We start from the raw sequence: 23,261 nt of genomic DNA on the forward strand, positions 1-23,261 counted from the left end.
CTAAAATCCCATTTACTGCATTTTAACAATGGAACTTTTGAAGAAAAACTTAAGACTCTGCAGCTCAAAGTCTCTTGGAATTGCTCCTACACTTATCTGATTCACAGCCTTGGCCAAATTCCTGAATAGGTTCAGCATATAACAAGTCACACCTACACAATGCCTCCGCAAATGATGTAACACTGACAAGCAAGTATGTTCATATCCTAGGGGGAAAAAAAAGCCACCTCCTTAATATTTCTTTGGTTGATGAACTACATAAAGATCACTATTTTGTACTTTAATATTAGGAATTAAAAGGTTTCAATGATATTCTTCTTAAAACTAAATCCCAGCACAGACAAAGCTAAGATTTCCCTGAATTTAAGCACTACATTGACAACTTTTCATCATGTTGCTATATTTAACATGATGTTATTGAATATATTTCATTATGTTATACAGTATTTTCTTTAAGAAAACCCATGAGAGAAATTTCTCTGGTCTGTTTAATCCGTTTCCACCTTTAAAATACTGTCAATTATAATACACTCAAATATATTAGCTTCTTTATAATGGCTGCTAGAAAACTTAAGTCTAATTTTTGACCTACTAGAAAAGGACTTACAGACCCTTATGTCATGCTTTTGTGAACAGAGTGTACTCCTGGCTTCATCTAATCTTTCCTGCTCTGAGCTTTCTGTTTCCATCATCTTCACTACTTATTTTTAATTTTATTTAATATTCATCTATGAAAGCCTTAAATCCTTTCTGGAACAAAGCTGAAGATAAACAAAAGCATATATGAGTAAATACATACATCAAAAGACAAAGCAGGTAATTTTAATAGCTTGAAATGTTTGCCTGGTGAGATTTTATTTAAGTCAAATATTTAAGCATTTATACATCTGGAATATAAAATAACTTCATCTCTGTTCTTCTAAAATTAACACCATAAAAATAGCTATAAAGTGCAAAATAGCTAAAAGAATATTACACTTTTAGAAACTTTAAAATAAAGTTGTATATAATATACATGCCTACTCTACAGATCAGTTCTATAAACATTCCCCACCAACTTCATCACCACCACCACCACCACCACCACCAATCTATTAACAGTTCCTTCTAGTTTTTCTCTCCTCAGAACACTGTTCAAGTCCTATCTCCCTGTCTTATATATCTCCTGTACCAATTCACTGCCAAGCCATAATTCATCTCAGTTTGTCTTTTTTGTGTCCTGAAAATGTTTCTTTATATTTCACGTTATATTCTATAATGCATAAATATCAGGTTACTTTAAGATGACATCTATTTTATAGTCACTAATACTGCTTATACATTGTTGTGAACACACTGAGCGTTCAATAAATGTCTTTCCTTGGGAGGCTAACGTGGGAAGATCACTTAAGGCTAGGAGTTCGAGACCAGCCTGAGCAACACAGCAAAACCTTGTGTCCAGAAATTTTTTTTTTTAATTAGCTGGGTGTGGTGGTGCACACCTGTAGTATCAGCTCCTTGAGAAGCTGGGGATGAAGGATCACTTGAGCCCAGGAGATCAAGGCTACAGTGAACTACAATCATGCCACTGCACTACAGCCTGGGTGACAGAGCAAGACCCCATTTCTAAAACCCAATAAAATAAAAATGTCTTTATTTTAAAATGTTCCAGAGCACTATAAATAACCTATGCTCAATTGCCTTATTTTTCCCCTTTAAAACTAAATCTCAGCCACTTGAAATTAGTAGTTTCTCTTTATCTTTCTCCCCTTAAATTGCGGTTTTTCTAAATTGCTGTTTTTCTAAAGGCTGTTACTATGTGTATGCAATAATTTTCATGTATTAGATGTTAGGTATATAAAGGTCAGGAACCAGACCTATACACTTCTTTTCTAAAACCATGTTATTAAGTGCTTAATAAACAACTTTAGTAACGACTATAATAGTTATTCTTACTCAATTTTGCTTTCTGCCTTGAAATGTAAGCTCTCTGAAGACTTAAATAAACCACATATCACCCAGTAACTACCCTTGTTCTACTTTACACACCCTTGTTCTACTTTAACAGATGACAGACGAATTCATACATGAATTAAGACATAAATTCTGATTTCTGTGTCATAGCTAACAAATGTAGATTAAATCACCAGGAGAAAACAAGCTGTATTCATGCCAGCATGGGAACAAGGAGATAGGAATACCATTTTTTACAAAAATCAAGCTACTTTGATTTAGGCAGCTAATAAAGAGTATGCTATATTTTTCCCTCAAGAAATCAGTAAGCCTAGGGAATTGGAAAACCTTGATTGTTACAGAGAAGTACAAAGAAATGGTAATAAAAGTACAACAGAAATGAAAGGAATAAAATTAAAGAATTACCTTTGTGAGCATCCGTTCAGAAGTTTAGAAACGACTCATTAATCAGATTTCTACGTATGTGTTCACTTTTTTTGCTAAATGTTTAGAAGAGGAACAAATGGGGAAAAAAATTATTCATTACCTTTCCAAATGACCCCTGACCAAGAACCTTGAGCAACTCAAACTGTGCAGGATCTGCTTTCTCATAGCCTTCCTTAACATGATGAGTAATAGGGATTTCTTTAACAACTCCTTCATCCTGTAAAAAGAAATCCAAACAATACTTGAATCCATTTTCAACATCTTCTGATTAGTTCCATTTAAAATCAGAAGTCATAATAGAAATACCCAACTCCCTCAATGTAGCAGAGAGTTTTATGGGCTACCAGTATCCTTATTTCCCTGTTTTCTAACACATACAGCACACACAGATGCACCACCACCACCTTCCCTACTACATAATTTCATGTAAATAAAATGTAAAAAGAAATCTATGCTTCAGCCTTCCCTTCCAGCTTGGTAGCAATATAATAAAATTGTTAACAACAGTCTCAAGACCCTTCAATGGACTGTGACTAATGAGGTAGAGGCAGAAAAAGTCAAAATAAAACCTTGTAAATTGTGGGGCATGACCAAAAAACGTGACCTCAAGAGCTTTTTTAAATAGTATTTCACTATACTATTTTAAATGTTTAAATGGCCAACTAACCACATCAATGAAAAAGAAACTGGCAAAGACCAACAAAATCTGCAGAGCCCCAACAAATGTTTCCAGGCTATGGCCCGTTTACTGAAATTTTATACATAAATTATATGCCAGATTTCGTACCACCTGGGTGAAGCAGAAAGAAAGCCACCCAGTGAGTGGTTCTTCCCCTTGATGCAGGACTCCACTCAGCTGTGATGACTACATTCAAGTGAGCTGTAATTAATACTAGTCCCTACAGAAGCACAATAGCTAGGATGACAGACGTATATCACAAAATAACAGAGTTGGAAGGGATATCTTATCCAACTCTCTGACTGTATAAAGAAGAAAACTAAGACCCACAGAATTTAACTTTACATGACTACTTAATCACAATGTCTATAAATCTTGGTAGCATTCCATTATAGCATACTAATTTTAGCCTGGATGCCAAGAATGTTCTCAATCTATTCACTCTTCAATTAACTGATTAGTCAATGGTGATTGAAGCCAAAGTGAACAAGAGTATGGTCCCAAATGAGCTAGACTTCATAGCAGCTAAAATAACTTCCATGGAATATAGGTAGTCAGGCATTCACTATCTCAAGGGGGGTACCTAGGCAAAGAAATTTTAATTGTAGGTGTTAGGAACTACCAGCAAATCAACAAGAAATGAAGAATAACTGATTTTGAAAGTATATCAGATGTTTCTTATACATCAAAATAGTATTTCACCAGACCCTTTTAAATAGTGATGGTAATTTATAAATGTTTACTGAAAATAAAAATTAAATTAAAATCAATCGGCTATGGAAGTGAATTTCCCTATTTGAAAGAGGTCCTTTTTTAAAAAAGTAAACAACCTTTTTTAATGCAAATATAGATGCTTTGTAGCTGACATTTGGGGACTATATTAAAGTATAATATATCTGTATGCACCTATAAGCTAAGAAACCTTGGCTAAATCACAAATCACTCTCTCCTTCAGTTTTCTCACATGACAAAGGGGTTTTGTTAGATGGGTCTCTAAGGTCCCCTCAATGTCTGTGATTCTATACTGAACACAATATAATATTTTTATGTTCAAGAAGGTACTTCAGGTCCCTGCTTATGTTTAGATTATCACTATAAGTATTGGCATCAGTTTTTTTAGAAGTGTTCAGAGTTAGGAAACAAATTGTACTATAGTTAGTTTCACCAAACCTAAGCAGGTTTTCCAAATGAAAATGTTTGTCCAATGCCCTTTTAACTTTTATTAATAATGCTCACATGCCCATCCTCTAAAATGCAATGTCTTTCAATTTTCAGCAGCAGTACTCTAAAAAGCTCCCAATATGAAAATGCAACTAGATGAGAAAAATCACTTTTCCCAGGAGACAGCCAATGTAAAATGTTACACTGTGTCCGAACAACTAATTACCATGTCTTTCTTTCCCACTGGACTGTGGGCTTCTTAAATGCAGGTATTACACCACATTGATCTCTTTATTCCTAATGCTTAGCACAATACTTTTTTGATCTCATGAGAGCAGAAAGACAAAGAAATCTGCTCAATATTATAAAAGAAACAGGAAAAAATATATACTTTTTAAAATGAAGACAGTGCTTACCACCAAAAAATAGGGCAACTGTGAGATGATGGATGTTAATTTGCTTAACAATCATAATAATTTTACAATGTATATGAAAACATCCCATTGTACACCTTAAATATATACAATAGAAAATAAAGATTTTAAAGGTAAAATTAAACAATAAGAAATCTCAAAATTATTCTTAAATATAGTCTACAAAACAAAAAATATATATACCCACGATTTCTTTTTTTAAATATATAAAGGAAATAAGGAAACAGGAGATTCATTCTGGCTAATGAAATTGTGTCAGCTTTGAATATAACCAACTTTGTGATAACAATATTTCTAAATAAAATAAGCATATCTTCCCATACACTGTGAAGAATATAAACTTCTTCCATATTATCCATTGTCAGTATTTTTATTACACTGTGCTGAGTATGTGTTGTACTCAACACAAATAAAGGACACAATAACCCCTGAATATTAACCTAATGCTTAGCCATTTGCCTTTTTAAATAAAGACATATGTTCCTAGGCCAACAACTACCACATATTATATCACCAAATTATGACTACTGTGCCTTTACACAGACAATTTGTAATGCCCTGGTTGCCCATAAGAATCACCTGTAGAAGAAATATTTATTTACTGCACTTGTTTGGGTCCCACCCTCAGAGATTGTGGTTCAGTAGAACTACAGGAAAACGTAAGCATGTGTATTTTTTAAGCCTCCCCAGTTGATTCGGACACATGGCCAGGATTGAAAAACAATATTTGGGTGCTTCTAAGATTTATAGTTATACAGATACATAATAGATATACACACAAATACATACACATATGTGCATACATGCGTGCACACACATATACACATGTGTGTATGTGTTTATATATAGCTACTTAACACTTTTATCATTTCTACGCCACTAGCTCTTTTTTACTCTCAAAGTATGTGATACCCTCCTGTGTCACCATTTCCAATACTTATTCTGTCTTATTCTATCTGCTCCCTGCCCCATTCTTGTCTATTGCCTAAAATTTCTCAGCCATCCCAAGGCTATGTTTATTGATTTTTACTATTATAATGTCCCTTTTTGTCAACTGAAACCCTCTTTCTTCCCTCCACCTCCCTGTCTTCAGGTTCTGCACCATTTCAAAAGCTTGATAGTAGCAGCAATCTAGCCTGAAATAGGTGGTAATGTACTTATAAGTGATATATTTCTTTTTTCCTGAGAGTAAATCATCCTTAAAAAAATTCCCTATCCTGGTATGATAAAGTTGTGCTATATCACCTTATCTTCCCATATATGCACTCTTATTATTCACCCAGCAAATCAACATTCATTAAGCACATATCCTATTATCAGACACTGTGCTGCACACTGGGGATACAGAAATAAACTGTGAATTTGAGGATAGAGAACTTTGTCAGAAACATCACATCCGTCAAAGAAACAAAAAGCTACAAGTATGCTATGGGCTAAATTATGTCCCCTAACAGTTAATATGTTAAAGTCCTAACTCCCAGTACCTCAGAACATGACTGTATTTAGGGATAGGGCCCTTAAAGAAGTAATTAAGGTAAAATGAGGCCATATGGGTGGGTTCTAATTCAATATGACTGACATCCTTATTTGAGGAGGAAATTAGAATACCTACACCTACAGAGGAATGACCACGTAAAGGCACAAGGAGAAGACTCATCTATAAGCTAAGGAAAGAGGATTCAGAAAAACCAACCCTGCCAACACCTTGATCTCAATCTTATAGAATGCAGCATCTTGGGAAAATAAATTTCTGCTGTTTAAGCCACCCATCTGTGGTTATTTGGTTAGGGTAGCCCTAGCAAACTACACATGGTACATAATCTTAGCTGATCTTTGAAAATAATGTTGCTACTGTGAAATGAAGATTTAATAACCTCTAAATAAGGACCCCTAGTCTTTCTACATCAAATAAAAAATCTGAATCTGAGGCCAGGATGACTATTAATTAGGTTTTATTATTTTTTTGCGACCATAAAGTAATCAGTGATATACAGAAAAAGTATGAAGGCTCAACCACAACCAAAATAGTATGTTCTGACCTCTATAATCTGTGATCATCTTTTTAATCCAGAGGGCCAACAGTGCTGTAACACTGGGAAAACACACTGTTAAAGTACAAAATGAACTGTCAAATCTACTATTGCTCCATTCATTTGATAACTGATTTGTTTAGGAAGATGGAATCACCTGTTAATTGAAAAGAGAAAAAGCTGATGACAACCTAATAGCAATATACTATTATAACTCAATTACAGCAGTTTTCATATGACTGTGGAACTAACCTCCAGAAAACAAATCAAAACAAAAGAAGTATTTTTAAAGCCTGAACTTGTTCATTTTTATTTAATAATAAAACATTCATCTATTCAAACATCAGCTTTATTTGTAGGTACACAGGCCAGCTTGGTGAAAAGATCACCCTAAAAATCCAAGAATCATTTAGTTGTGGATTTGCTGAAACATATATGCAAAGACCCAGAAGAGCAGCTCGATATACCCTTCTCATTCAGTGAATAATATGGGGTCATTGAAAACCATGTCAAATATTAGTGTACTTTGAAAGAAAGCTAAGCGTAATACCAATATAAATGCCAAAATGCCATGAGGGTGAACTAAGCACATCAAAATTATGTACACAATGGAAGGTATCTGCAGAACACTTAGTTTTGTAAAAGTCTGCATTATGACTGAAAACCAAAGAATGCCGGCAAACTAGTTCCCACTTGGTTTGGTTTATTCTACTTACGAGGGTCAGCTCCTTAGTTCCCTCATCTACAAATTGGCAGTAATACTTACTCTATTTCAGATCTCAGTTATAAGGATCAACTGAGAACTTTGAAAACCACAAAACATCCATAAAAATTGAAGTTACTGAACTTATTTGTACAGATGTTCCTGGACTTATGACAGTGTTGTCCCCATAAACCTATTGTAAGTTGAAAATTCACTTTCAACTTACAGTGAGTTTATCCAAACTTAATCCTATTGTAAGTTGAGGAACATACTGAATATCACTTTTGCACCACTATAAAGTTGAAACTCATAAGTTGAACCATCCTGAGTCAGATACTCTCTGTAGTACTTATCTTTGCATACCTGATGGTGCAGCATAACTCGACTTTATAGTGGCTGACCAACATTTTTTAGTTGAACAATAATTATTCATCTGAGAGTTTTGCATATCTGTAGGACAAGGTTTCCAGTTTTTTAAGTAACTGAATAGAAATTAGAAGTAAACATCAGCATTGCAAGAGAAAAAATACTGAAGCATACTAAGGCTAAATGTGCATCAGAATAGAAAGACAAATAGAGGAAAAAAAAATCCACCATACAGAAAGCAGGCATTCTCAGCTTGAAATAGCTCCTACCTGTGGTTCCACTGAGTCTAAGTAAAACACACTTGTAAAAAAGTATTTTTGAAAGAATTCTTAACAGACACATGTCAAGAATGGTTTTTAAAATAAGAAATTCAGGGCTTAAAAAAATCAGGATATCCAGCATTGTTTTTCAAAATATACATTTTCAGTTCACTATGACATTTACATCTCTGCATAATAAAAATATAAATCACTTTAGAGACTAAACATGTTGCTGACCTTGCACTAATGTAATCAACAAAGAATCTAATTGCTAACTGAATATTCTTTGAAATTTTTAAGATATTGATAGCATTAAAAATATGTATTTTATTTCAGAAAAAACAGATACTGGGTAGAGTTTTAAAAATAAATACCAATGGATCATAAACTACCAAATATAAGGCAGTTATGCTTATTTTGACAACAAATAAAAAGTTAACTCATGTCAGCCAACTACTAAAGGAGACAAATCATAACAAACTTTTTCTAACCTTGACATTGCTGAAAGAAGTAGGATACTAGGTGGTGAAATGTGATATTAGATATAGTTTATCAGCAACCTGTTACCTAATACTTACCATCACAGAGCAGTCTCTACAATCCTACACTATTTTAAAACAGTAAAAAAAAAAGCCAACCACAAAAAAACACATGACAATCACAAAGAAAAAAATCGTAGCTGTATATTTAAAAAATTTAAGGGATAAATACATATGGTGTTTTTAATCACTCATGTAGTTTTATTGACACAAATTGAGTACTTTAACCATCACACACCCAAAGTACATGGTTTCAAGTCCAGATAACTCAGGCCACAAACTAAATCAAATCCTTGGAAGTGATTCTAGGTCCTTTACTCTCCAAAATTTCACACTCTACCTTTTAGCCACTGAAGTTGATTGCATAAGGTAGATCATGTAAGTAACTAGCACTGTATATTTTTACTGCCTTTCCACTAAAAACTGAACTTCCTGACTTATCTTCTACTAAAATTATAAAGGTAAATATTTGCCAATCACCCTGTGTATGTGTCCTTGAGTTTATGCACCACACACACTGTTCCCCTGTGGTGTAAGCCATGATATCCTTGTGAATTTATTAATGCTAAAATATAATAAGCAGCCTTCTCCTTCTCCACTGCCTTTAATAGTTCCTTATACTCCTTTATCTTTTATAAACTGGCAACATTAATATTACTATGCCTATTAGTCCATATGAACTGTAGACAAATCTCTAGATAATGGTTTTGATAGTTTACATTTAATTATACTCAAAATTACAATATATTATTAATATTCAGTAAACTGCAAAAGCTACAAAGACAACATTGTATCTCTCATATTGTCAATCAAAATTAAAAGTGTTGTTACATGGTTACTAACTGCAGAAATAGTTACATAGAACATTTCAAAGGAGAGTTTTGGACAAACCCAATTTAAATCCCTCTGCTGGTTTCTATCTGAGCTAATTCCAATTATGAACAAGTTTTGGTGGAGGGGTCATCAAAGTTGATTTCATCCACAACCAAATAGAAAAAGGATAATGTTCTCCTCATCTTCTACTTCTTCAGGTCTACATAATATATCTGACCTAAAAGGAAGCATACTGCCCTAAGTCTTGATTCTGCTACTAGCTACTTTTATCACCTAGTATAAATCACAGACTCTCCAAGTTTCAGTAGACTAATCCATACAATGAAGTATTACATAATATCTCTGAGGTTCTTTCCAGCTTAAAAAATCTATAACTCGGCCGGGCGCGGTGGCTCACGCCTGTAATCCCAGCACTTTGGGAGGCCGAGGCGGGTGGATCATGAGGTCAGGAGATCGAGACCATCCTGGCTAACAAGGTGAAACCCCGTCTCTACTAAAAATACAAAAAATTAGCCGGGCGCGGTGGCGGGCGCCTGTAGTCCCAGCTACTCGGGAGGCTGAGGCAGGAGAATGGCGTGAACCCGGGAGGCGGAGCTTGCAGTGAGCCGAGATTGCGCCACTGCAGTCCGCAGTCCGGCCTGGGCGACAGAGCGAGACTCCGTCTCAAAAAAAAAAAAAAAAAAAAAATCTATAACTCTATGAAAATATCTATAGAAATAACAACCATAAAATAACAACATAAATGTAGATGCTGATTTAGTCAGATTCTCCCTACAAATCTTAAGAATGCTCTCTGTAAAACTAGATCTTGTAAAATAAGACTCTAGTATCTAGGCATTACATAGAATGGTCTAATGGCTAAGCAGTCTTTAAAACTAGTTAGAAACTTCTGAAATAATTTACACATAATCCTTTCTAAAAGCCAGGAAATTGATTTTAAATGATTTCAAGTTATGCTTATACAGTTCAATATTTCCAAGTCAGATATCCTTTCTACCCTGAGGTTGAAGATAATCTTCTCAAAGGATTCTATATTTAAGTATAATAATTCAGTTACTCATACACTGGCAACTGAAAATTTTATCCATTACACTTAAAATGGGTGAATTCAATAGCATGTAAATTATGTCTCAATAAAGCTGTTTATTTTTAAAAATGCATGCATAAGTATTTCTGTCAGGAAAACCTGTCCTATATTTTAAACTGCAGTTGAGTTATTAATAATTCCATTTGCTTATTACCAACTTACCTGAATATATTTGTTTGATAGGAGCTTTTCTCCTTTCCCTGTATTCTTTTTCCTTATATGCTAAAAATGTGGCTTAATAAATTAACATAAATACTTACATGACAAGAATCTGCTTCTCCCTCTTCCATTGGCTCATCAACCATTTTAAGACCATTTACCTGAAAAACATTGTTCAAAAATTGAGGTTCAAAAGTATTAAAACAAGAGTGATAACTAAGAAAAATATAACCCTAGGCATTTCCTTCCACAATCTAACAAGATCCACACTTACTGAAAAACAAAAGGACAAAGGACACATAGAAGTACTTAGAAAAGGAACACTATTAACATGGTTCCCAGATTATCCTTGAGAAACTTTGATTTTCAGAGCTTTATGCTTAATTTCATATTGTTTAGAGTTTTGCAATAACAGATAACTATACACTAAGTATATAACCTATGTACTTTCATTAAATTGTCCCCAACCAAGTATTTATGACAGGAAAAAAAATGCCACAGAAATCTACCATGGGGGTATATTCAAAGCAAATTATAATAAGAACAGTTTTATATAATTGCACTGTTGTGAATTCCTCTTTCATTCAGTTAATTAAACATCATGACATACTATACAGAAGAAAAAATAAACTATAGGAGAAAGATGTAAGTAATCATGGAAACAAAACAAGTCAACATGCAGAGCTCAGTAGGTAATACTACTCATTCTTTAACAACTAATTCAAGAAACAGTAAAGTAGAAGACTTAGATCAAGGTTCTACAAACTATAACCCATGAGCTAAATCTGACCTCTTGTCCGTTTCTGTAAAAATTTTACTAGAACACAGCCAGACCCATTTGTTTCCATCTTATCTATGGCTGCTTTTGCACTACAACAGCAGAGTTGACCAGTTGTGACAGAGACCCTATGTCTGCAAAGCTTAAAATATTTCCTATCTGCACCCTTACAATCTGCCAAACACTGAACTAAGATGTTTGAAAATTAGGCAACAGGAAGACGAACTAGATAAAAAGGATTTTTACCACTGCCCATTTGTAAGTCAACAGAAAAAAAAATTAAAAAGTAAATTAGAGTTTCTTGTGACAGTCAAAATGAAATAAGCTCATAAGCCTATCTCCCCCTATTATAAACTAAAATCCTTATGTAGAATACAAAAAGAAACTACATAAGAACTCTGAAAATGAAACAAAAACAAATTAATTAGGGAAGATCAAAACTTGAAAATTAACTCTGATGAATTCCCTAGGTTTATTTTCTACCTTTATCTCCTGAATTTGAGCAGAGGAGAGAATGAGTCACAAAATTACACAGTAGACATCAACAAAAATTCCAAGAAAAATCCCATTTTCTAGACAAAGGACCAGGAAAAGACGCACTTTTGAGCCTGTAAACATAAGGAGAATCCAAGATTCCCCATGTACACACTTTCTCTTTTTTGATGCTGAGTCCAACTCCAAGGCAAGCCCTGATCAAGAGAAAATCTCTCTCTCTGGCCAGAGGAAGCAGGAAAAGAGGTCCCTTTTATAAGAAAAATGTGAAGGTAATCCCTGTTATTTTTTTTGCACTCTCTTCTTTACTTCATCCAAAAGGCAGCTCCAATAGTGTAAAGTTATATTCCAGCATAAAAAGCTAAGACTCTGAGAGAAACTCATATTTGTGGCCAGCAGAACAGAATAAAGGGCCCATGGGAATTGAAGAATGTGGAAGAAATCAGAGAGGATAGAATGAAGAGAGCAGATCCCCTAATTCTGTGTATGAACCAACACAAGTCCTGGTCACAACAAAAAACTGCATGTGTGCAGAAAGGACTAAAGAAACATAACAAAGTCTTTGAGTACTGAACTACAATACCAATAATTGCTCGTCTCAGACTAACCACTGAATTAGCACATCCAATGAGTGGCACATGCAGAGTGCTGACCCAAACTCTCTGAAAACTGAATTAACATTGGAACCATTATCCAGAGAGGACAAGACATAACTTTGGAGTCAACCTAACTAGGTAGATTGCCTGCTGAAACAAACAAATTATCAACAAGTATCAACTCCAAGATGGCTCCAAAGTTGAACTATCTGACAAGAATCTTAAAGCAGCTACTATAACTATGCTTTTCTGGATAAAAATAAACACACCTGAATGAAATGATAAAAGGTTCTCAGCAGAGAAATAGAAACTATGAAAAAAAACAAATGTAAGTAATTCTAGAACTAAAAATCATATGAAAAATTTTAAAAATACTGGATAGACTCAATAAAAGAATGCAGGTGGCTGAGGAAATAAACTTTAAGACAGATCAATAGATGTCATCCAATATGAAGAAAAGAGTGAAAATGATGAAAAATAAACAGAGCCTCAGAGACATATGAAACACTATGAGACATTCTAAAATCCATGTCATTAACATCCCATAAAATAACAGAGTAATACTGAAAAAATCACTTAACGAAATAAAGGCAATTTCATTCATATGAAATAATGAAAACAGGGAAATGTATAGAGACAGAAAGCAGACTAATGGTTGGTTGGGGTGAGGTATGTGGAGATGGAGGTCATAACTAAAGGGTACAATGTTCCTTTTTGATGTGATGAAGAACTTTTAAAATTTACTGTTGTGATAGTTGTACATATTTGTGAATATAATAAAAAGTATTGAATTGTATATTTTAAATGGGTGAATTATATGTTATGTGAATTCTATCTCACTAAAGCTGTATTTTCAAGATAAATAATGGCTGAACATTTCCCAAATTTGAAAAAAAAAATTACAGTTTCAAGAAGTTCAGTAAATCCCAAACAGAATAAAATTAAAGAAATCCACCCCAAGACACATCTTAAGTAAACTACTTTAAACCAAAGGAAAAATGGGGAAAATATTGAAAGGAGTGAGAGAAAAACCACACATTACATAAAGAGGAACATCAAACTGAATGACTGCAGATTTCTCGTAAGAAATCATGGAGACCAGAAAACAGAGAACATTAACCCGAAATCAGTGGAAACATGTTAAGACACAAATCTGTACATACATTTTTACAGCAGCTTTATTTATCATTGTCATAAATTGGAAACAATCAAGATGGTCTTCAACTGATGAGTGGATAAAAAGAATACTACTTTTTACTCATCAATAAAAAGAAGAGAACTGTTGATACTTGTAACAACATCGATGAATCTTAAAAGCGTTTCTGCTAACTGAAAGAAGCCAAATCCAAAAGGCTAAATACTGTATGACTTCATGTATAAGATACTTTGAATAAAGCAAAACTGTAGGGAAAGAATAAAGATAATTGGTTCAACGGGTTGGGGGTAGAGGAAGACGAGTATCACTCAGCAATAAAAAAGAATAATATACTGATACATTCAACAACATGGATGAATCCCAAACACATTGTAAATAAAAGGTGCAAGATTCAAAAGGCTACATTCTGTAGGATTCCATTTATATGTTATTCTGTAAAAGGTAAAACTAAAAGGAATGGAGAAGAAATTAGTGGTTGCAAGGAGTTAGGGATAGGGAAGAGGCTGACTACAAAGAGGCATCACATGGGAAGAGTGTGTGTATGTGTGTGTGTGTGCTGGGGAGGGTGGGTCATCGAACAACTCTTTATCTGGATTGTGATGATGGTTACACAACTCTATACATTTTTTAATCTCAGAACCCTACATGAAAAAGAGTGAATTTTACTATATGAAAAATTGGAAACCAATTTATTAAAAAGTAAATTAGCATTATTTACTCAACTAGCATCTCTATTCTAAAAAAAAATCCCATTGAAAACCAGCAATGGTCAATAAAGTCAGTAATGATGTCTACTTTGCTAACGGATCCATCAGTCATTATCTTATTTGATCTCTCTGCAGCATGTCACAGGTGACCACTCTCCTATTTGAGTCTTTAGCTTCTGTAATACCATACACTCCTTTTATTTTACTCCAATTTCCTTTGCTGCTTTTTTTCAATACCCTTGAAACACTGTAATTCCTCAGGAAATGGACTAGGATCACCTTCTCATCCCACTCCACATTCTTTCCCCACGCAGCTAATTTACTAACATGATTCACGTTTACTCAGTGACTAACTCTGAGTTCCTGATCCATATATCCAACTGCATACTTGACATTTCCACATGTTTATCTCAGATGTCTCTCAAAAATAACCAATACAAAAAGGAATTCTTGACCCCTGCTTCATATCTGCTCTTTCTTCAGGGTTTCCCATTTCATTAAATGATAACACCATCTACCACCTTAGCTCAACAAAACAGACTATGTGGGATTAAAAAAAGAACTGTGACAGATTCATTGTAAGCATATAGAAAGAAGAGCATTCGGAAAACAGTCCAGAAATCAATATTAAGACAGAATCGTGATAATTAAATTTTTGCCATAAAATGACTCTCAGAATTATCCATAGAAAAAAGGATTATGCATAGGAAGAGGATTATCCATAAAAAAAGAAAAATATTGCTTTCCTCTGTTACCTTAGTTACTGGTTACTTCCTATTCATATCATCTTATGACTAATTTATCATGAAGCTGTGGGTCTGAAGGAACTAGAAATAAAATGAATGTGAATGAGTCAAGAAGATCACTCTATCCTGGAAATTATCTCAGTCAGAAATGGCCTTTAGAAACAGAACACTCCATTGCTCCCATCTCATCTACCCTCAAGGTATCAGGTTTTCAATATAAGAATATTCATCCTACGGAGAACCACAGTGTATACTCATTGATACTTACTATAATTTAAATCACTTTCATCCACATAAAAACAAAAATAATTTCTGAATTCTCTGGGATAATAAATCTTTATTTCAAAAATAAAATTTGTAATTTGAAAAGATAAGCAGACATGCTGCTTTCCCCAATTAAGTGCCAAATGAGAGGAAAAAAATTCTACATATGATTCTGGAATGTTTATCATCAACAATAAAGGTAGTAATAATTTACTCAGATATTTCAAAATCCAAGTGAACAGACTCTCGTACCAGGGCTTAGAGAAGACTACTTTAAAAATTCTTTTCACATTTTATCAGAAAAGACTTAAAGCACTTACAAATATGCGGGACAAACAGAAATCCTAAACTGAGTTGCTGTACTCATCTGATCCCAGAAAATCACATAGGTCACTTCAAATTTATCGCTTTCTTACTATTATTGACCAAAGCAACTCATCAAGGAAAACTGAACTGAGAAATTAAAAAAAAAAAAATCCCTTTCAGATCCTTGGAATTGGAGGTGGTATGGGATAGTGAACATATGAATACAAATAGTTTAGTAAAAGAGTTTACTGTTATCTATGATACATAAACCTGTTCCTTAGTGTTACACAAAAGGAGGAAGTTAACAGAGCTTGTAGCTTGGTGCTGAAAGATATATTGAAACTTAGAAGTAGGCCCACATCTAACTAGAATAAAATCTACTTTTTCCTTATTTGTGTGCACCTCTGAAGAAGAAAGTAGAGAGATACACATTTCCGAAGAAGACAGTAGAGAGATACACAAATAAGAACTAGATAAAAAGTGAGAATAAATATGGGTGATGCAAATGATTAACAAAACATACACAGGACAGCAGTTTCCACAATAAATTTGACAATATTATATATTTTCAAGTATTCTCCAGGATCCCCAAAATCAACCTAGTAAAAAAAAATATTGGCCAGGTGCTGTGGCTCATGCCTGTAATCCCAGCACTTTGGGAAACTAAGGCAGGTGCATCACCTGAGATCAGGAGCTCGAGATCAGTCTGGCCAACATGGTGAAACCCGTCTCTACTAAAAATATAAAAATTAGCTGTACATAGTGACACACGCCTGTAATCCCAGCTACATGGGAGGCTGAGGCACAACTGCTTGAACCCAGGAGGTGGAGGTTTCAGTGAGCCGAGATTATGCCACAACACTCCAGCTTGGATGGCAGAGTAAGACTCCTTCTAAAAAAAAAAAAAAAAAAAAAGAAAATATGTCTCTCAAATAAGCTTTACATTTACATATTAGTCACTGATAGCTTTTGTAAAGAAGACTTCTTCTATTCAATTTTTTCACTTTATTTAAATAACAAAAGTAAATTAGAGCTAAAGATAAAGGTGGGTCCACATCTACCTAAAATAAAGATCCGGCCAGGCATAGTGGCTCACGTCTGTAATCCCAACACTTTGGGAGGCTGAGGCGGGTGGATCACCTGAGGTCAGGAGTTCGACACCAGCCTGGCCAACATAGTGAAACCCCATCTCTACTAAAAATACAAAAATTAGCTGGGTGTGGCAGCATGCACTTGTAATCCCAGCTACTGGGGAGGCTGAGGCAGGAGAACTACTTGAACCCAGGAGGTGGAGGTTGCAGTGAGCCAAGATCACGCCACTGCATTCCAGCCTGGGCGACAGAGTGAGACTCTGGCTCAAAGGCAAAAAAAAACAAAAAACAAAACAAAAAAAATCTATGCCTATATATTAAGCCCAGGACAAAATAAAACAGAGAAAGAAACCTACCAATTAAGCAATGTGTTGGACACTCTAAGATAGGCCCCCATGATCCTCACCTCTTGCTGTTTATGCCCTTCTATAATCCCCATCCCCTTGAATGTGAACATGGCCTATCACTGAATTCCAACCAATAGAATATGGCAAAGGCGATGAGATTTTACATATATGATTACACTGTGTCATATAAGACTCTAGAGGCTTTCCTTGCTGACTTGATTGAAGTAATTAAGTGACCATGTTGAGAAAGTCCCCATAACGAGGGACTGTGGCCATCCTCTAGGAACTACAGGCAGCCTCTAGGAGTTGAAAGCAGCCTCCACTCAACATCCAGCAAGAAGCCAGGGCCCTCAGTCCTGCAACCACAAGGAAAGGAACTCTACCAAGAATCTGAGGGAGTGTAAAAGTAGATTATTCACCCAGTCAAGCCTCTATATAACAATGCAGAACAGCTGAAACCTTGATTACATTTTTGTGGGAATCGAAGCAGAGGACCAAGCTGACCCATGTGTTGATTACAGCTTGGTAGGGCCCTAAGCAGAGGATCTAGTTGAGCCAAGCCCAGATTCCTGATCCATAGAAACTGTGAGATAATAAATGTGTCTTGGTTAAAGCTGCTAAATTTATGGTAATTTTTTGCAGCACTAGGTAATACAATCAAAAGTGTCTATGATCAAAAATTCTCCCCTGAAACAGACTTTCCAGAGACAAATTTTACAGTTTAATCATTTTAAAATAGATCTTTACTTATTAAACTCACATATTTGTTCTCATTTGGTAGAAATAAAACTGTAAACTATATACTAGTAAGTGACCCAGGACAAATGTTTAAGTGGGGCCAAATTTTTAATTTTAGTTTCAATAAACTTAAAATTGAGCAGTTCTATTTTTGTCCTTTAATCCTGCTTTCCGAAAAATCAATCACTAACTTAAGCACAGTATAGAGAACGTAATTCCTTTTTTTAAAATTTTATTTTAAGTTCTGGGATACATGTGATGAACGTGCAGGTTTGTTACACAGGTATACATGTGCCATGGTGGCTTGCTCCACCTATCAACTCGCCATCTAGGTTTTAAGCTCCACATGCATTAGGTATTTGTCCGAATACTCTCCCCGCCCTTTTCCCGCCAACCCCCGACATACCCCAGTGTGTGATATTCCCCTCCCTGTGTCCATGTGTTCTCATTGTTCAAATCCCACTTATGAGTGAGAACATGTGGTGTTCGGTTTTCTGTCCCTGTGTTAGTTTGCTAAGGATGATGGTTTCTAGTTTCATCCATGTCCCTGCAAAGGACATGAACTCATTCTTTTTATGGCTGCATAGTATTCCATGATGTGTATGTACCACATTTTCTTTATCCAGTCTATCACTGATGGGCATTTAGGTTAGTTCCAAGTGTTTGCTGCAATAAATAGTAGTGCAATAAACATGCGTGTTTATATATAGTGTTTATATATAGTGCTGCAATAAATAGGGCTGCAATAAACATACGTGTGCATGTGTCTTTATATTAGAATGATTTATAATCCTTTGGGTATATACCCATTAATGGGATTGCTAGATCAAATGGTATTTCTGGTCCTAGATCCTTGACGAATCACCGCAAGAACATAATTTCATATTCCTTTAACAATCAGGGATATCTCAGTATCTTAAGAACTAACCCTCTCAACATGAATTATCAACAGCATGGCTTTGTTGAAATGGAAAGTAAATCCAGAATATATCCTGGAATTTACTTTTTCAAAATAATTCCACCATACATAAGGATGTGGAGAAATTGGAACCTCTGTGCACTGTTGGTGACAACGTAAAATGGTATAGCTGCTATAAAAAGCAGTATAGCAATTCCTTAAAAATTTAAAATAGAATTACCATATGATCTAGCAATCCCACTTCAGGGTATAGAACCAAAAAAATCGAAAGCAGGGTCTCAAAAAGATATTTGTACACCTATGTTCATAGCAGCATTATTTACAAATAGCCAAAAGGTAGAAGCAACCCAAGTATTTATCGACAGATGGTAAGTTAAACAAAATGTGGTATATACATACAATGGAATATCATTCAACCTTAAAAAGAAAGGAAATTCTGACACACGCTGCAACATGAACCATGATGATATTATATGAATTGAAATAAGCCAGTCATAAAATGACAAATACTATATGGTTCCATTTATATAAGGTATCTAGAATAGTCAAATTCATAGAGATGGAAAGTAGAAAGGTGGTTGCTGGGGCTGGCAAAAAGGGGAGAATGGAAAGCTTTTGTGTAACGTGTAAGGAGTTCTAGTTTTGCAAGGTAAAAACAGTCCTGTAGATTGGCTGCACAATAATGTGAATGTACTCAACACTTTTGAACTGTATTCTTTAAAATGGTTAAGATGGCAAATTTTATGTTTCATATATATATTTATATATATAAGACAATTTAAAATTTTAATGCTAAAAATAAGATTAGTAATACATCACATCAGGTAAATTTCTTGTCATGTGCATCTAGACTTAAAGCTCCTTGAGGAATGATGCTGTGTTTCATTCATTAGGCAGGCATAGTATGTCATGAAAACAGCAATTCTTCAGTGTCAAGCAGACCAAGATTCAAACTCTAAAGCTCTACTTTTACTGCCTTTGAAAAGTTTATTAAGCTTTCTTAGTTGCAATTTCTTCATCTGTAAAATGAGCAACCTAGGATTGTCAGGATTCATACAATGTTCCTAAAGCAGCTGGCACAGTGTCTGACATGTGCTCAACAAATGCATGATGTGTGAATGTTTTTCTGATAAAAACAATACAGAAAAAAATAAAAACATTTTAGCTAATAATTCATCAGAGGTGAATAATGCTGCCTGTATAGAGAATAAAAAATATGTGAATCAAAACTTACTGCCATATCACTATCATAATAGTATTGACTCAATAGTCTTAATTTAGTTTTTTTGTATCATTTATTTATTTTTTGAGATAGGATCTCGCTGTGTCGCCCCAGGCTGCAGTGCAGTGGCAGTGCGATCACAGCTCATTGTAACCTCAAACTCCTAGGCTCAAATAATCCTCCTGCCCCAGCTTCCCAAAGCACAGGGATTACAGTCATGAGCCACAGTGCCCAGCCCTAGTGTAGTTTTGATATGTCATACTGTTGTGGAAAGATCACTTTTAAAATTATGATAGGATCACTTTTGGTCAACGTGAAATGAATCTCCCAAACCAACCCATAAAGGTATATACATACTCATGAACATACTCTTTGCTTTAAGAAACACAAATTGGAGAGAAATAAAAAAGTATCTTTGTATATTTTTACTATAACACACTTTATCAATTTATCTAACAGTCTTTTAAGCAAGACATTTCCAAAAATAAGATTTAGTTGGTTTGTTTTTTTGGATTCACCAGGCAAGTTTTAATTTGTACTGTGTCTTTTATACTACCAAATATTTTCAAAGGTTTATTAATATCTATGGTCATTTCCCCAAAACACTTTAATCTTTTTGAACTTTTAGATTAAATTATATAGTTAACATACTGCTTATGAGAAATCTGATAACAACTACAATACTCATTTTAAATGATTTACTTTGATCCTTTCTGGCTTTCTAATTATACAATATTCTTGTAGTTTGTACCTCAAGAAGTTTGAAATACACCCACCTAATTATTGTCACTGCTTCAGGGAGGACTTAAGAAAGGGCAATTATGTTTCAAATCAATTTAAAAGAGATGTCTTTTTTTTAAAAGAGTCTCAGAATGGGACAAGAGTATACAGCCTCCAAGCGATTACTTTAGTCAGGTATTTAAATGCAATCATGAGGCTCTGTTGTAAAAGCAGTTAGCTGGTAAAACATATCCATGTTCAAATTAAGGCATAAAACCAAGTCCAAAGTTAAATATGAATGATCTTTGGAGTATTTGCCATTTTGAATTACCTGTGCTTTTGAATGTCAACTCATCTTTATCAAGACTCAACGTTAACACTTTCCCTTTTTCCTTCCACCTTACCCTATGAAGACTTCTATCAGTAAACACTGTGTTACTTGTTAAGTGTCTCTTCCATCTCTCTATCATACTGTAATCTCCTGGAGGAAAGGGATCTCATCATATTACTCTTGGTTACCCCAGTACCTAGCATAATATCTGGAACATAATAGACACTGGAAAAATATTTACAAAATGGAATGACTAAAATCTGGGATCTAAATGAATAAAATTTATAAAATAACTTCAATAATAAGCAATGGCCATTATTTTTCCTTCGATTTTTATTAGTTTTCTTACTAAAAATGTTTAAAACCAACTTTCAAACATAATTTCATGACGAAGTTACAGTAAGTCATTTTACTTCCCATTTCTGACTCTTAAATGCTAACAGCAAAGAGGAATTCAGCTTTTTCAAAATCACATTAAAAATATATTATTTGGGTTAGTCATAAAATTGTTTTCAAGAAAAAAAATGTTAGAAATTCTTTGTATTTCATATCTTGCATGGAAATCACATTATGAACCTCAGTATACGTGGGAGATTGGTTCCAGGACCTCTCGTGGATGCCAAAATCCACAGATGCTCAAGTTTTGTATATAAAATGATGTGGCATTTGCATATAACTATGCACATCCTCCTCTGTACTTTAAATGATCTCTATTATTTATCTGTTAAATCTCTTCCTCTATATTTTAAATTATCTCCACTAACAACTATTTACATGGCATTTATACTGCTAGGTATTACATAGCAATAATGTTATCTCTATTAACAGCTATTTACATAGCATTTATATGCTAGGTATTACATAGCCAAGAGTAAGGGGAGCTATGCAAAGCAAGAATACGGCACAAACTGAACTGCCATACATACCGAGGCTCTACTTTCTTGATGGCTTATTTGAGTAGGAGGAAATCGGGTATTAATATATTAGAAAAGCAAAAGGGTGGGAAAGATCTATTAGTGAACCTGTGAATAATGCCACAGGAGTATGGAATTAAAACATTAACAACCAAAATATTTTTAAAAATCTTTCTATAAGGCTAAATTTGTTGGAATTTGTGACATAATATATTGTCCTTCAGTTCAGATATTTCTTTGTACATTATGGAAAAATGCGTAAATACACAGTTAATTAGTTTTCAGTTATCAAGACAGAAATTGAGAGCAATAACCAAATGAACCCTATCTAGTAACACAACACTATACATATTTAATCATAATTTGGTGAGTGCATGCAAAATAATATTTAGAACCAATTAAAAAAAATCCAATTATCATCATGCTTTTAAAAAGGACTAGTAGTTGTACTACTATTACTACTGAGTTACTACTGAGTCACTGAGTAACTACTGTTACTACTGAGTTAAACTAAGTATGTCAATATTGCATAAACATTAGAAGGTATTTCCAGAACATTTGAGTTTTTACAACCTTGTTTCAATGACAGAAATGCAGCTTCCTGGTTTCTATTCAGGCAGGAATTTGTTTACTCTGCTTAGCTGAAATCAGAGCTAATGACTTTATTGGTTTTGAATAGCTCCAAAGTGTTCCCAATGCAAAGGCACTGGCTGTCTGGCCAGTCTCATATGGGCTACAACACATGCATTTGGGAAGTTTACTTTCCAAAAATATAAGTATTCATGTGGTATAAATGAAGTCATGTACATATGCAACCTGAATACACACATGACATTCTGAGGTAGTAATTCTCACTGTTGTAACCTCTTCAAGATATGAAGTCTATATAATCACATTAAAATACTACCTTTGGGGTATGAATTAAGTTTAAATTGTCCACTGAGTTATATATCAGGGTTAAAGAAGTACTTTGTCTAGAACACCTAAATCTTTAGTCATTTTTTGAAAGGAAAAAGAACTTTATTATTCTTGACAAACATTATATACAAAGTACAATTGTGTTACTTCTCAAAATAATCATAAACATGTTAATTCCCATTTTATATGTGAAGAAACTGATTAATTAAATAACACATACCTAAAAACACACAGCAAGCTAGTGACAGGATAAAACAACTTTATCCCAGTGAGTCACAGTTCCTAAATGTCCTACACCATATTACTCTATTCTTTCATCACTTCATAAACAATGGAGAATAAAGGAAAAAATTTAAAAACTAAAATGGGTTTATATGTGGAAAAA

At 34.3% G+C, this 23,261-nt stretch overlaps 1 protein-coding gene across 10 annotated transcripts in view; it reads right to left on the reverse strand.

Annotated features, from left to right (window-relative positions):
- Positions 1–23,261, reverse strand: part of RPS6KA6 (ribosomal protein S6 kinase A6) — a 130,154-nt gene that overhangs the window by 95,250 nt on the left and 11,643 nt on the right. For 8 of the 10 annotated variants that reach the window (XM_047441997.1, XM_017029425.2, XM_047441996.1 and 5 more), the window contains 2 exons: positions 10,733–10,792; positions 2,480–2,596 (listed from right to left, as the gene is read on the reverse strand). In XM_047441997.1, coding sequence (XP_047297953.1) covers positions 2,480–2,596; positions 10,733–10,777 — 162 coding nt within the window. In that variant the 5' untranslated portion in view covers positions 10,778–10,792. Of the gene's footprint in view, positions 1–2,479; positions 2,597–6,692; positions 6,841–10,732; positions 10,793–23,261 lie in introns of those variants that run through there. The other 2 variants (XM_011530919.3, XM_011530920.3) reach the window with 1 other exon arrangement.

Source organism: Homo sapiens, chromosome X, assembly GCF_000001405.40.
Source record: "Homo sapiens chromosome X, GRCh38.p14 Primary Assembly".
NCBI classification, from domain to species: Eukaryota; Metazoa; Chordata; class Mammalia; order Primates; family Hominidae; genus Homo; species Homo sapiens.